Source organism: Homo sapiens, chromosome 20 (assembly GCF_000001405.40).
Source record: "Homo sapiens chromosome 20, GRCh38.p14 Primary Assembly".
NCBI classification, from domain to species: domain Eukaryota; kingdom Metazoa; phylum Chordata; class Mammalia; order Primates; family Hominidae; genus Homo; species Homo sapiens.
Window position 1 is genome coordinate 38,288,948 of NC_000020.11, and position 15,941 is coordinate 38,304,888.

General features: G+C 48.4%; 1 protein-coding gene across 3 annotated transcripts in view, besides 1 other annotated feature; it reads left to right on the top strand.

The window, feature by feature from the left end:
• Positions 9,430-9,945: an enhancer, noted in NCBI's record as "H3K4me1 hESC enhancer chr20:36926779-36927294 (GRCh37/hg19 assembly coordinates)". NCBI's record gives its function as "activates a minimal SCP1, AML or CMV promoter by ChIP-STARR-seq in naive H9 embryonic stem cells {active_cell/tissue: H9 hESC(naive)}" and the evidence as "EXISTENCE:reporter gene assay evidence [ECO:0000049][PMID:30033119]".
• BPI (bactericidal permeability increasing protein) overlaps positions 15,209-15,941 on the top strand; it is a 33,350-nt gene continuing 32,617 nt past the window's right edge. For all 3 annotated transcript variants that reach the window (NM_001725.3, XM_047440393.1, XM_047440394.1), the window contains exon 1: positions 15,209-15,406. In NM_001725.3, the coding sequence (NP_001716.3) occupies positions 15,277-15,406 (130 nt within the window). In that variant the 5' untranslated portion in view covers positions 15,209-15,276. The remainder of the gene's footprint in view (positions 15,407-15,941) is intronic.

Below are 15,941 nucleotides of genomic sequence, written 5' to 3' on the forward strand. Positions count from 1 at the left end.
GTTTACGTGTTCACCAGCTCCCTCCAGACGCTCATCTGCCTTTGGTGCTGTCTGACTTTGTTTGTTTATTTATTTATAGAGATGGGGGCTCCCTATGTTGCCCAGGCTGGTCTCAAACTCCTGGACCCAAGCCATCCTCCCAAAGTGCTGGGATTACAAGTGTGAGCCACCACGCCAAGCCTGACTTTAAGATTTTTGCCAATCCAGTGGGTATGTAAAGATATCTCAGTGGATCTTAATCCACACTTCTTTGATTGATAATGAGATTGAGCATTTTTCTCATGTTTTTAAATCACTTATGCTTCTTTTATGAAATTCCTGTTCTTTTGTTCCCCAATTTCTATTGTGTTATTTATCAATCTTTTTCTTATCGTTCATAGGCGTTTTTCTATATTATGGATGCTACTCCTCGGTTAGTCATGTGTGTTTCAAATCTTGCTAATTGTGACTCGTCTTTTCATTCTCTGAATGGGGTCTTTTCATGAAAGGGCCCTCTAAATTTTAATGCAGTCAAATTTGTCAACTATTTACTTTATGGGTTAAACTTTTTAATCTCATTTTTTTAAGTTTCATTAAAGAATCTTTTCATAAAGATGCTCTCCTATATTTTATTATAAAGTTGTAAAGTTTTACCATTTATATTTAAATCCTTAATCCATCTGGAATGGATTTTTAATGTGTGGGATGACATACGGAATCATTTTCATTTTCTTCCATATGAATAGCGAGTTATTCTGGCACCATTTCCTGGGAAGACCATCCTTTTCTCCTGGATTCGCGATGCAGGCTGTGTTATCACCTTTTCATATATGCATGAGAAAAAAAAATGTTAAGGAAAAAGCCAAGTGAAATAAAATGGTAGGCAACACTTTGGCCCAGCAAGTCCATGTCTAAGCATTTATCCTAAAGAAATAACTGTAAATGCAAAAAAAAAAAAAAAAAAAAAAAGATTTGTCGCAAAGATGTGGTTTATAAGAGCCAAAAATTAGCAAACAATCTCATTGCATATGCAACAAAAGAAATTGTTTAAATAAATTTTTGTACATCTATACAATGGAACATTATGCAGTAATCTAAAAAGATATGGTAGATTTTAAGGAGGTGACATGGAAAGAAAAATTGAAAAGCGCAGACTATGGAACCACATACAGATACAGTATAATCCTCACTATGTAATCTAGAGGCATGTTCTTAGACAAATTACAAAAGAGGGACATGCAAGCAGTTGATCTATATTATCTGACTTTAAAAAAAATTTGTCATCCTAGCATCCCAGTATATTATCTGAATTTTTATAGTGATATCAGGCAATCATAAATAAAACATAGTTCACTTTCTCCATGTTAAAAAAAAATGATGTTGCATATGCTTAGGATAATACCATAAGACCCAGCAACCCATTCCTAGGTATTTTCTTAAGAATCTAAGAACATTTATGTTCACACGAAAGCCAGTATGTGAATATTCATCATAAGCCCATTCACCCAAAACTGGAGGCAACCCAGATGTCCCTCAACCAGTGCATGGATAAATAAGCTGTGGTTCATCCACACGATGGAATATTACTCGGCAACAAAAAGAAACATTACTGATGGATGCGACACCATGGATAAACTTCAGAACACTGTGCTAAGTGAAAGGAGCCAGACCCAAAAGGCCACATACATTATAATTCCATTTATATGGACATTCTGGAAAAGGCACACTTATAGGAGAGCAAAACATCAGTGGTTGCCAGGGGCGGGGATGGTGGGAGAGATTTACTATAAAGGGGCACGGGGACATTTTGGGGGTGAAGGAACTGTTCTCTATCTTGATTATGGTGATGATTACATGACTATGGGTTTGTCAAAACTCATAAACCTACTAACTACAAACTACCCACTAGAAAGGGAAAACTTTACAATATGTAAATTACACCTCAATAAAGAATCGCAAGCTATAAAAGGTGTTGCAGGTTATACCTTTGTAAATTAAAATACACCAACAATGTGAAAGCTAAAGAAAAATATGTGATGTAAGAACATTTAATGATATGGAAAAACATTCACAGTATCGTCAAATGAATATCCATGTTGCACAACGCTGTAATACACAAGTCTATGTACACAAAGGCATGCATACATGCACACACCGGTAGAAAGAAAAAACTGCTGGATAAACGCCGCAAATGGTGTCCACAGGTCTCTCTGAGTGGAGGGGTCACTGCTGGTCTTTATTTTCTTTCGCTCCCTGGGTTTGCTGTTTTCCCACGACGTTTCCCACAGTGTGTCCCCGCTGGAGTCCATGGCTGACTCAGGGAGGCTGGGAGGAGGTGGCCACTCCACAGCTGGGAAAACCGCAGCCTCCCGATGAACCCTGGCTGACGACCTGTCTATGTTTACTTTTTCTCCCTGGGCAGACAAGACAGGAGACTGGAAGAAGGGGCCAGAAATTCAGACTCAGAAGCCCCCTCCAGAGGCCACAAGGCAGCCTGGTCCTCTCTGAACCAGTGGCTCCCACTCACTGGCCCCTTGTCTCTGCCTGGACTCCTGCGGATGAGTGGAAGGCCAAGAGGGCGCCCTCTGGTGCCCACTAGATCGACTCCCAATTAATCACTTAACTGTGTGACCCTGGGCCAACTACTCAACCTCTCTGTGCCTCGGGTCCTCCTCTGAACATGGGGATAAAGACAGTGCTTGCCTCGTGGGGATGTTGTGTGTGTATACATGCATACACACGTGTGCAAAGAGCTTAGAGCCACGCCTGGTACCATTTACATGCTCAGTAAATGTTTAGGAGGATTGTTGTGATAACCCAGCAGACTGATGTGTAAGCCTATGGTCCCATCTCAGGGCATGTGGGTGTCACAGGATCGTAGTCCTAACAGCCCAAAAATAATGTTAAAATGACTCAAGGACTTCACTTATGCTTCTGAGCATCCTGAAGGAAATAGGCACAGTCTACAGAACTACTTCCTAATGCTCCCCTTAGTTCAACTGTCCACTTCCTCAGCACAGTCCCTGTATGTCTTTGGAGGTCCCCCTTCTCCAGACCTCCTTCATTCAGCCAACAGCGTTTATTGAGCACCTGCTCTGTGCCAGCCAGCTGCTGTTCTAGGCTCTTAGAATAAATCAGAAAACCAAATAGATGAAAAATTCTCATTGTTCACAAGTAGATTCTAGACGTCTCCCCAGAGCAAAGCCCAGGCCCTTGGCCTTCCTCTCCCCTGCCTCTTTCTTCCTCATTCTGCACCCAGAACCCAAGAAAACGCTGCAGCCCTTCCTGGGAGGGCAGGAGAGAGGAAAGATCTGAGTTGGCCAAGCCAGGCTCTCCAGCAGGCAGGGCTCCAGCAGAGGCTGGGCACCTTCAGCCATCAGCAACTGTGTCCCATTACCTGTGGAAAGCACCAGCCCTGGCCTGGAAAACAGTAGGAGTTCATCAAGAGTGGCTTTGTTGTACAGTGGTTGTCTTGTACCCAGTTGGATTGGCAGCAGCTTCGGGGCACGAGGAGCGACTGTTCACTCCTTGGGGAGCTTGCAGCACAGGGCAAGGTGCACAGTAGGCACTTGGTGGCTGGCAGGGCCCTCTGGGGCATCCTATGGGTGAATATCTTGCTGAGCCCATGGAAGGCCCATGTCAGAATCCAGTAATGTGCTGGGGAGGCGAGCTGGGGTGGGGTTGGAAGTGGTGCTCACCAGCCCAGCCAGGGTTCCTCTTAAAAGTCACAGTGCTCGAAGCCAGTACAGTGCCTCACCCCTTTTTATGCCCTCACCTGGCTCATCTCCCATCCATTAGTCCTCAAGGTACATCTGTGAGTCCCATGGGTCAGGTAGTGGGTGCAATGGGAGGAGATGAGGGTGTGGACTTGTCCTCAGATCTACCTCTTAGTACCTATGAGAAGTCAGCAACCACCCTGACCCTCTGTGTCTTCATCTGTAAAATGCATATATTAGTCTCTTCTTTGGTGGAAAGGATTAAATGAGATGTTGCATATGGAGGCATGTGAGGGTTTTGTAAGTGCTCATTCTCCCTTTTGCCTCAGGAAGAAAGCCTCCACCTTCAGACTATCAGGCACCTGGGGACAGACCCCAGGACACTGCCTTTTGTGGCTCTTGCCACCCATGGTCACCTCAGTTACTCAAGCCACACATGCATGTTCGTGCATCCCCCACATATACACAGAAACTCACGGGCGTTATATCAACCAGGGTTCCTAGCTGCAAGCAACAGAAAGCAACCATGACTGACTTAAGCAGAAAAGGAATTTCTCAAAAGAATATTATTTGATTTATGGAATCACAGGAAATCATCCAGGTCTCTACCTGGAAGGCAGAATGAACCTTATTAAAATCAGTTGAGATGCGCACTTAGCATTGTGCCTTGCACAGAGTAACTGCTCAGGAAAGGTTATCCAATAATAATGAAAGCATGTCTTATGGTGTGACACCTCTGCTCAAAATCCTTTCATAGATCCAATTGTCTACCATGGAAACCCGGCCTCTGGGCTGTGGATACTTGTGATGGGAGAGGTGGTGCGGGCTCCGAATTCTTTCCAATAGTCTGCAAACCCGCAGAGCCATGAAGCATTGTCTGTAGGCCAGCACTCATCCTCCACCCCTCTGCCTGCTTCTCCGCTCTCCTAGTTCCTTCTCCCTCCTCTAGGAATTCAGCATTGCCACTCTGATTGGCTGGATTTTGGGACATTGATTGAGCCTTGTTTTCTAGTGGGCAGGAGGCTCTGTGTCTTAAAGGCCACTGGCCCAGCTGCCAATGAATCAGTACTTTGTTTCCCCAGGTAGAGTGGGGGCAGGGGGCAGGGAACGGGCAGGGCAAGTTTGGGGCATTCTGCTCCGAGGTCCCTCTAGCCAAACGTTATCAAATCTCATCCAACATGCTCCTGGCTCTCCATTTCAGATGTCTGTAAACTGGGGACTACAAAATGCAAATATGTTTAAGAGTTGCTAAATTTGCAGTGACTTTTTCTCAATCAGTGTTTTGCAAATCTAACTACTATCATAGGAAGACCTTTATACTTGAAAAACTTGGCGGGTCACTCACCACCCAGATCAAGACCAAAGCATGGCTGTCAGTGCCTTCGCTTAAACAGTTCTCTCCACCTGGCCTGCCCTTCTGCCATGCCCCTCCTAGGCCATCACAGATGCCAGCTCAGAGGGGCAGTTCCTGCTGGCTGCATGGTGTCCCACCTGGACTGTGTCACCAGCCTCTTCACAGCCTCTAGCCTTCGGTGCTCCCTACCTGACCACCCATACGTCTAGCAGGCAGACGGACGGGTCCAGAAATGCACACCTGGTCACCTTGATTGCACTGAGCCCTGCCCTGCAGTCAGTTACCTGGGTTTTCCACCAGGCATCCATTTAGCTTAGTCATCTTCCTCTGGGACAGTGGCCGTTTGATGGTGACAGACCTAGGCCCAGGTTTCTAAGAATCAGGAAGATGAAGCAACAGGGAAAGCAGGTTGACCCTCGCTTCCTTCCCCTTCCACAGGACGGTCCTGCCCCGGCTGACAGAGGAGGGGTGAGTCCTGCTGCTTCCTGGCCTGTAAGATGCCCCTCAAGGTCGGGCGTGGTGGCTCACACCTGTAATCCCAACACTTTGGGAGGCCAAGGCGGGCAGATCACCTGAGGTCAGAAGTTTGAGACCAGCCTAACCAATATGGTAAAATCTCATCTTTACCAAAACGACGACGACAACAACAACAACAACAACAAAATTAGCTGGATGTGGTGGTGTGTGCCTGTAATCCTACTCAGGAGGCTGAGGTGGGAGAATTGCTTGAACCTGGGAGGTAGAGGTTGCAGTGAGCTGGGACTGCACCACTGCACTCCAGCCTGGGCGGCAGAGGGAGACCCAGCCAAAAAAAATGCCCCTTAAGTTTCCCAGCCTGAATATATTCAGTCACCTGAGCCACTGAGAGGCTCCCCCGTGGCTCCAGTCAGTGGCAGGAGCTGGAAGTCTCAGGAGAGAAGGAAAACGGAACCCAAACCTTTGCAAACACTCAGACCGGCTGCTAAGTGCCACGCACGCGTTTGATCACACTGACTCCTCCGGCGAGCCCTGTAAGGCTGGCGTTACTATCCCACTTTACAGATGAAGGAACTGAAGGTGGCTGAGGTAGCGACCCTTCCTAATGGGTGGGAGTGGGATTGAACTGAGCCACACAGTCAGCATTTATCCCCCCAACAAAGAGTAATAACTGCCCCCGTGGCCCAGGCCTGGCTTGCCAAAGGCTGTACATTCTGTGTGGAATAAACCTAAGATGCTGTGGGAGGGAGGGAGTTCAGGGAAGGCTTCCTGGAGGACACGGTGCTGCATGCCAGGCAATGGGAAATGCATCTTCAAAGGCATGGAGGTGTGACAAAGTTTCACATGTTCAAGGTTATTTCTCTAAGTTAGTGTTTCTCGAGGGGTGGCATCAACTGGGAGCTTTCCAAGCCTTGTCACCTACCCTGTACTCAGGATCAGGGCGTGGGGCTTGCTTTTGGAAATCTGCGTGGTCATAAGCTCCTGGGTGGTTGTACTTGAAAGTGGCAGTGCGAGAACCAATGGGGTGGGATGTGGAGGGCCCTGTGAGCCTGTTAAGGAAGTGGGCCTTGCCCCTTGGTGATGTGAAGCAGAGGGGGGATGGTGCTGGTGTCGGCTTCAGAGAGATCTCTTTGGCAGGTGTAGGTGACCAGCTTGGAGCCTGGGCACCTGAGACAAGGCCGGAGCAGCCATCAGGAGGCCAGACAGCAGGAATCAAGGTCTGGACTTCAGAGTGGTCAAGAGGATAGAAAGAATAGAGAAAGAGAGAAGGCAGGCTTGAGGAGGGCTTCCAGGTTCCAGCTTTATGGAGGAGGCGAGAGGGGGCTGGGTTTGGAGAATTGGTAGAGCCGAGACAGCAGTGCAGCCCTTACACCCGGGCAGGTCAGGACCCCACAGGCCCTATGCCTCAGGGTGCCCCACACCTTAGAGTGCCTTCCTCAGAACTTTCTAGGTCCCACCTGGCACCTAGAACCAGCTAGGCATGGCAGTGTCATCCGTGTGGGCACCCCAGGCCCAGGGTCAGGCCCCGATCTGCTGTCTCATTCCTCATTTATTCTCTATGGGACACTTTACAGCCCTGGACCCTGAGGAAGGGGTCTGCCAGGTGCCCTGAGAGCTCTGGGACTCATCCTATGAAGTGTCCTGGGGCCCTGAGGCCAGGTCCCAGTTTCAGGAGGGTGCCTGGAGAGCTGATCATCCCTGCTGGCCAGCGCAATGTTACTTTGGTGGGGTCATGTGAAATTGGGCTGCCAGAATGGTCCTCAAATGCTGATTTGAGGTGACTCCAAATATTTGCCTGCCCAGGGCTCTGCCTAAGGACAGCCGTGGGTGCAGGGACACTTGCTGCTGGTTGGTATCTAGACACTGCCCTGATATCCCTGGGTGCCTTCCTGCTACCCTGGCCACCCCAGATGGGGTGACTCAGGTGAGGTCCTTGGGGAGGCCACCCTGGCACCCACTGGCCAGTGACTCCCACCTGCTGGCCTCTCCTCATGTATTACACCTCCACCTTAATCACACGGCCAACCGCAATATCCCCAGCAATAGGGCCATTTGATGTCGCATGATCTGCTGCACTGAGAAGAACGCAGCGTCGCTTCTGTGGTTTCCCTGCTCAGAGGGCACGACCTGAATCCAGTCCCAAGGAAACAACAGCCAAACCCAAACCGACAGACATTCTGCAAAGCAGCTGGGTTGTCCTCTCCAAAAATGTCAAGTCATGAAAACACTGAGAAACTGTTCCAGCTTAAAAGAGACCAAGAGCCTGGGCACAGTGGCTTACACCTGTAATCCCAACACTTTGGGAGGCTGAGGTGGGCGGATCATGAGGTCAGGAGTTCGAGACCAGCCTGACCAACGTGGTGAAACCCTGTCTCTACTAAAAATACAAAAATTAGCCAGGCATGGTGGCGCTTGCCTGTAATCCCAGCTGCTCGGGAGACGAAGGCAGGAGAATTGCTTGAACCCAGGAGGTGGAGGTTGCAGTGAGCCGAGATCTCACCACTGCACTCCAGCCTGGGTAGTAAGAGTGAAACTCCATCTCAAAAAAAAAAAAAAAAAGACCAAGAGACATGAGAAGAAACTGCAACAGGAGGTCCTATATTGGACCCTAGACCCATTCACATCATTATTGGTACCATTGGTGAAATGGGAATGGGGTCAGTGGATTAGCTGGTAATACTGTATGAATGTTTGTGCTGTGATAGGCCGGGCACAGTGGCTCACACCTGCAATCCCAGCACTTTAGAGGCCGAGGCGGGTGGATCACAAGGTCAGGAAATCGAGACCATCCTGGCCAACGTGGTGAAACGCCGTTTTTACTAAAAATACAAATATTAGCTGGGCATGGTGGCACGTGCCTGTAATCCCAACTACTTGACAGGCTGAGGCAGGAGAATCACTTAAACCCGGGAGGCGGAGGAGGTTGCAGTGAGCTGAGATCGCGCCACTACACTCCAGCCTGGTGACAGAGTGAGATTCTGTCTCAAAAAAAAAAAAAAAAAAGTGCTGTTTGTGCTGTGATTATGCAGGAAAGCATCCTTGTTTTTAGGAAATACAAACTAAAATATTATGCGTGCACTTACACCCAAATAATTCTGGAAAAATATTTACATATATATATGTATACACATATATATTCATATATAGATACATCTGTAAAGATAAGTGTAGTAAAACATTACTAACTTGGACAATCTGTGTGAGATAAATATAGGAATTTTTGTACGATTTTTGAAACTGTTCTGTAAGTTTGGTATTATTTCAAAATAAAAAATTGAAAGCAATTTTACAGTCTCAACAACCACAAATTATAATAGACATGGCTACCATAATTGAGCATCTAGTATGGACTCCAATGCATTGGCTCATTTAATCTAACATTAACAACACAAGGTAGATATTATTCGTCCTGTTTTACAAAAAACGAAAGATCTCAGAGTGGTTAGTGACTTTCCCGAGGTCATACAGCTTGAAAGCAGCAGAGGCCAGAATTGAACCCAGGCCATACTGGCTTAAGAATCCGTGCTGTCAACCTCTGAGAGATGGAGAAATGAGCAAGTAAACAGACGACAATTACACAGGGTGGCAATTATGGAGACAGACTCTGAAGGGAGCCCAGATAACCTGGAAGGCTCCATGTAGGAGGCGATATTTGAACTGGGCCTTGAAGCATGTATAGAAGTTTTCCACTTATGGAAAGAAAGTCTCCAGGTAGAAGAAATGGCATAGTCAAGGGCGCAGAAGCTTGAAAGGATAGGTCCCTGGAGGTTGTTTTTCTGGGCCTCACCACCCTGTGGGTAAAAACGTGGTTACATTAAGTGTCACTGGCTTTTTGTCATTGCCTACAAAGTGCCCCTCATGCTTCTCCATGAGTCCACAATCCACATTCACCTCCGTCACATAACACAACAGGAGGTGCCCCTTCCCCTCATTTTGAAACCTTCAGCATCCCTTTGCCACTTTTCTGCTTGTGTGGCCTTAGGCAAGTTACATAACTTCTCTAAGCCTCAATTTTCTCATCTGTGAAATGGAGCCAATGATACCTACTTTCAGGGCTAGATAAGGATTAAAAGAGAATGTCAGCCAAGGGTTTGGCTTGGTTTCTGATATGGATTAAGCCCATCAAAGATGGTGGCTGTTCTTATGAATGAGGACCCTAGATCCCAGAGAGGGGCAAAGACTGGTCCAGGTTCACACAGCCAAGCAGAGGCAAAACCAAGGCTCCACCCCAGGCCCTGGTCCCCACTAACCTCCCCCGAACCCCAGCCTGCCAATGTTCCCAGCTCGTGCTCTCCCTAGCATAGGGCAGAGCCAGGCCACGAGCAGCTCTCTAGCAGCCGAGGTTCTCTCGGGGCTCAGCCTGTTGGGCCTTGGCTGGGCACATACGTATTTCCTAATGTGGCCGAGGGGAAACAGCCCCAAGTGTCAGAGGCTGTTGCACATTTGGCAACAGCCAACTGCCGGTATTGCTTTTCTTCCCGTGATCCTCCCTCGGGCTGGAGGAGGCCAGGCCTGCCGTGAGCCAACATTGTGACACAGGCGCAGCTCTCCAGTTTCCTGAGCAAAAGAAGCCAGAGAGGCACCCTCCCTTCCACCCACCCCTGGAGAGCTGCTCTATCTTGTTTTCCTTTCTCTCAGCCTTCAGCTTGTCCCAGAAACTGCCCTTTGTGCAGGGCTCAGGCCTTCAGTCTGAGAAACCACCCTCCTTCCATCAGCCCCCAGGCACCGATGCAGATGCCTCCCCCCGGAAGCGTTGGGGGTTTGCCAGGCCAGACTGAGCTTGTCCTTAGTCTCCAAGCACTTAGGGTCTAGAACTATGCTCTGACTCTTCTTTTAATTTATTCACTATTGAGTAAATCTTGTGTCCCACTCTGGGATTGCTGTGATAATAATAATTAATATTAGTATTAATAATAATGAGGAAGCTCAGCCCCTACCCTGTGCCCCTTGGAGGCTCATATCTTTCTGACCAGATTACTCAAAGGAGCCCTTTTATGAGACGTGAAGCTGGGAAGGAGACAGACAGTGTTTTTTAGCATAACAAAGCAGGGGAGACACCCTCTTAAGAGTTTATGCCATAATACAAAATTAATACAAATTGTACAAAATGTCTGATTCTCTTTTTTTTTTTTTTTTTTTTTTGAGACAGAGTCTCGCTCTGTCACCCAGGCTGGAGTGCAGATCACAGCTCACTGCAAACTCCGCCTCCCAGGCTCAAGTGATGCTCCCACCTCAACCTCCCAAGCAGCTGGGACTACAGGCGTGGGCTACCATGCTGGCTAATTTTTGTATTTTTTGTAGAGACGGGGTTTCGCCATGTTGCCCAGGCTGGTCTCAAACTCCTGGACTCAAGCGATCTGCCCACCTCGGCCTCCCACCATGCTGGCCTGATTGTCTTTTCCACACTGCACCTTGAGGCTGGATCTCCAGGTGGGCCTGCTTCTCTCCTCCCCTTCACCCTCCAGCATCTACCACAAGCTCCTCCTTCACCTGCAACCCCCTCTCAGGATGAAAGAATGGCTGGCAGCATAGCCTGGAAGCCGGACACACAGAGGAAGGGGGACCCTGGTGGGTGAGGGAGGGAAAGGGCTAGAAAATCAGAGCTGAGGGGAGGGAGAGTACAGGGCCTCAGGTGACCACAGAGGTGACCTCATGTTAAACCCAGGCAAGACCTGTGCCTGAGGATGGAGCGTGGGGACAAACGAGGAAACAGGTTCAGCAAGTTTAAGCAGCAAGCTCACAGTCACAGAGCGAGGAAGTGGCAGAGCTGGGATCTGGGCCCAGGTTTGTCAGGTTCCAAACCATGCCCTTAACAGCCTTGCTGTGCTGCGGGGGCTCACATAAGGCAGGGAGTGGCTGCTTCTCCTCCAAGCCCCTGGCGGAGTGGAAGGCTCACAGAGGCAATGTAAGCCACAGATTCCTCTATCTTTGCCCCTATCCAGTCCAAACCCAGAGGCCAGAGGGCCAAGAGCTCAGTTTCCAGTGCCCCTGGCTTGTTTTCCTGGGGGCTCTGAGGCTCTCCAGCCAGCTAGTGATGAAGGTTGACTTACGATTATTTACTGAGCACCTTCTCTGTGCAAATCGATTCACACCTATTATCTCATTTCATCCTCAGGAACAACTGCCATGATGAGCACTGTTTCCTCATCTTTAAATGAGGAACCCCAATTTCAGAAAGGTGGAGGAACTTGGCCAGGCTCACAGAATAGGGTAGCATGGCTGGGACTATGAACCCAGGACTGCCTGGCTCTAAACCCAATTCACTTTCTTCTGGAAAAAGTCGTCAGCCTAAGGACGGAAGAGCAGGAAAATAGACAGATCCAGCCCTTGAACTGACCAACTCTTGATCCACCCCATCTGTGAATTTCTACTGAGAAGAATATATTTTCCCTATGATTTAAGCTGCATCAAATTGAAATAGCAGGAGAAGAGTTTTGGGGGATGACAGGATTCTTCTATATCCTGATTGTGGTCCTGGTTACAACACATAGCTATACATGTATCAAAATTCCTAGAACTAAAAGGAACTCTAGGAAGCAAATATGGCAGAATGTTAAGGTTTTATAAACCTATGTGGTCTATTCTTTTCTTAGGTTTGAAATATTTTATAATAATTTTAGGGAAAAGAAAAAAACAAAAAGCAGGAGGAGGAGGAAGAGGAAAAGGATATTTGGGGAAAGTCTGTTTAGATGGGATGGCTGGAGCTGCTGCGGCCATCTTGCAACCATGAAAGAAGCCAGTGTAAGAGCAAATCTGAGACACGGGGATGGGAGAGCAGAGAGATGGAAAGATGATCCTGCAGATGTCGGTCAGTTGCTGAATCAATCAGAATCTCAAACCTGTCCTCCTCCCTCTGGACTTCCTCTCTGCCATAATAAATTTGTTTATCGTTGAAGCAATGTGAGTTGATGGTTTCTGATACTTGGGTTGAAGACACTGTTACTGATACAGGATACGGGGTCAGATCTGAAGCAGTGGGGCAGCCCCATGGCCAGCAGCAGTGCTGACAAGGAGACTGTGGAAAGTCACTGATGTGGCTCATCTAGATGTGGCTGGGCATGAGACATCGGGGAAGCCAGTGGGGTTGCTTGTTCAGAAACTTGCCAGCTGGGTTTTTTTTTTTTTTTGGTGGGAGGTTGTGGGGGGACAGAGTCTTGTTCTACCATCCAGGCTTGAGTGCAATGGTGTGATCTTGACTCACTGCAACTTCTGCCTCATGGGTTCAAGAGAGTCTCATGCCTTGGCCTCCTGAGTAGCTGGGATTACAGGTGAACACCACCATGCCTGGCTAATTTTTGTATTTTTAGTAGAGACAGGGTTTCACCATGTTGGCCTGCCTGGTCTCGAACTCCTGGCCTCAAGTGATCCACCTGCCTTGGCTTCCCAAAGTGCTGGGATTACAGGTGTGAGCCACCACCCCCGGCCGTCAGCTGGTTTTAAGATTCTAATTTTATAGCAATGTAGGTCATTGTCATGTGATTTCATCTTAATGTTCCTTTCCTAGCTGACACCCTCACGGATACCACATCTACCTGGGCCTTGGGGAACTCAGGAACTTCGAGCAACTAAGAGCTGGAAGTGTTCAAAAATGTGCAAGATAATTTTTCAAAAATCTAATTTTTGTGACAAGTCATCAATCTATGTGTTCTGGCTGCTACTTAGAGCAATCTTCCTGGTACAGATGCAGACATCTGAGTCTGGGGGCTCAAATCACTTGGAAAAAGGGAGAGCTGGGGTGAGGGCCTACAGTCATGAGTCCTCCTGGCACCTGCCTCAGGTAAGGGAAAATCTTCTCTGCGTGAAAGGAGGAATGACCATGACAGTGATGTGATCGCTGCATCTCAGTTTCCTTGTTTCCAAAATGGTGAAGAGGTCAGGCACGGTGTGGCTCGGCCTTAATCCCAACACTTTGAGAGGCTGAGGCAGGAGGATTGCTTGAGCTCAGGAGTTCAAGACCAGCCTGGACAACATAGTAAGACCTCATCTCAATAATAATAATAATAATAATAATAATAATAATAATAAAACAAAATGGGGAAGAATCATCCCTCTCTCAGGGTTGTTTTTTGGCTTGGAGATGATGCATATGAAGCATCTGGCACACAGTGGATGCTTCACACACGGCCACTGCTTTCATTCTGAAGCAAGCCAGAAGAATTCTAGTTGCTGCAGATGGAAGCAGGAGGGGAGACTCTTTTAGAACCAAACGAAGAGAGGAAGAAAAAAACTTTTAAGAAAAAAAGAAGAAAACTTCAGAAGGTCTCACGTCCTCCGAGCTCAGCGGACTTCATTAGACTTTCATAAAGTCCAAAGTCGGGGAGACAGGGCACTAGGGGGCTGATGAGGACCCAGCGGGAGAGAAGCTGGCTGCCCCTTCTGCAGCCCCGCCCCTCCTCTCATCACCATGGAGACGGAGCAGGCTGCCCAGTGGGGTTCCTGCCCACCCGAGGCCTGAGGCTGCTGCAGAGGGAGGGGCAGGGGCTGAGCAGACAGGGACCTGTCTGGAAAGCTGGGTTGGCGGTGGGGAGTGTCTACATCCCCCCAACTCCCAAGGCGCTGAGGGATTCGGGCTGGTGTGGGATGCATCTGGAGGGCTGTGTTTTGATCCTCGCTCTGCTAGCAGCTTGCTGAGTGACCGTGGGAAGAACGCTTCCCCTGGTGAAGCCTCAGGTTCTACATCTGCCAAAGGAAGGAGTAAAAATGTACAAAAACAGAAGCTTGGATAAGAAAGCTGTGGGATGAGGAAGCAATGAAATATTTAATGCTGGAGAAGAACATTTGCTACCTATTGTTTCTCGAAAAAAGGGAACTTTACCAAACTGACCAGGTGATCCCATATTGGTTAACAAACAAACATGGACTCTCTACCTATGCTTACCAACAAAAGAGGGAGAAAAGAAATACTCTAAAATACACTTTGGCTTGTCTCCGGAAGAGGGAGTTATATGTAATTTGTATTCTCTTGTTTCTTTCTCAAATTTTGGCCAATAAACATGGGTTACTTTTAAAATCAGGATAACATTAATAGCTAGCATTTGGATATTTATTTTGCACGGGCAGTATGCTAAATGCTTTACGTGGTTTTAAGCTCATTTTATCTTCTCCACAATCCAGAGAGGGAGCAGTACTATGTATTTCTCTTCTGCAGAAGAGAAAACCGAGGTTCAGAGAGGTTAAAGGGCTTGCCTGAGGTCGGACCACTAGAGAATGACAGGGCTAAGATTTAAAACCATAGCCAAGATACTAGACTCTAAAATGTGAGCATTGAATCATTACCACTACTGCCTCTCAGGACAAGAAAACACGAAAGCATCTGTTTTCTTAAATGTTTTACTATCAAAAATACAAAAGAAATCAAAAGTAGAAAGAAAAATATGAATCCTTATGTCTGTGCCACCCACCTTCAAGGGAGTCTGTAGATGGGGGCATTTGGGTGGGGACACAGAGCGGGGAATGGGGTGCCTAGGGAGGGGAACCAATCTACACACACACATACACACACGCACGCCCGCGCACACACACGCATGCATACATGGACATGCGAGCCTCCCAGGCTGCACTTCTCCCTGCCTGTGGGGCCCTAACCACAATGGAAAACCACAGCGGCCCTCCCTCTTTCCCACCCTCACCAGGTTCCTTCCTCCTTTCCACATTCTACTGACTTGCATTTCCCCAGCCGACTCTTTTATAGCTCCCTGGTTCAACCTCAAGGCCTTGAGGTTTTGGCAGCTCTGGAGGATGAGAGAGAACATGGCCAGGGGCCCTTGCAACGCGCCGAGATGGGCGTCCCTGATGGTGCTGGTCGCCATAGGCACCGCCGTGACAGCGGCCGTCAACCCTGGCGTCGTGGTCAGGATCTCCCAGAAGGGCCTGGACTACGGTAACTGGATGCCTCCCTTCCCTCCTCTCCACCCCTGAGGAGCACTTACTTAGCATCTACTGTGTGCACCCCTTTAGATCCAGCACCTGGCACACTCATAGCACCTCAGGGCAGGTCCCCTTGCCCCCATTTTATATATGAAGAAACTGAGGCAAAGCGAGTTGCCTAAGATTGCAGGGCTGGGATGGCAGAGCTGGGATTGGAGCACTGGTCTAGAGGACTCCAAGTCCAGTGCTCAGACCCCTGAGGGTCCTCATGGTCCCCTCCTTCCCTCTATGTAACCTCCACCTTTGACTTATAAGCCCTTCTCTTCTTTCCAAAGCCAGTTCTCAGCCTTGCCATTTGCCTCTCGTTGCTGAGGAGGCTGAGCAGGGTCAGAGGGAGAGTGTGGGAGGACCTCCCCACCCCGTGCTCTCCCCACTGCAGGGGCTGGCGGCCATACTGTGCACAGTGCTCCACTGGGTGACACAAAGAGGGTCCCCCCAGACCACTCACCCCAGCCCAGGCAGAGGAGAGAAAGACCTGCTCTAACCTG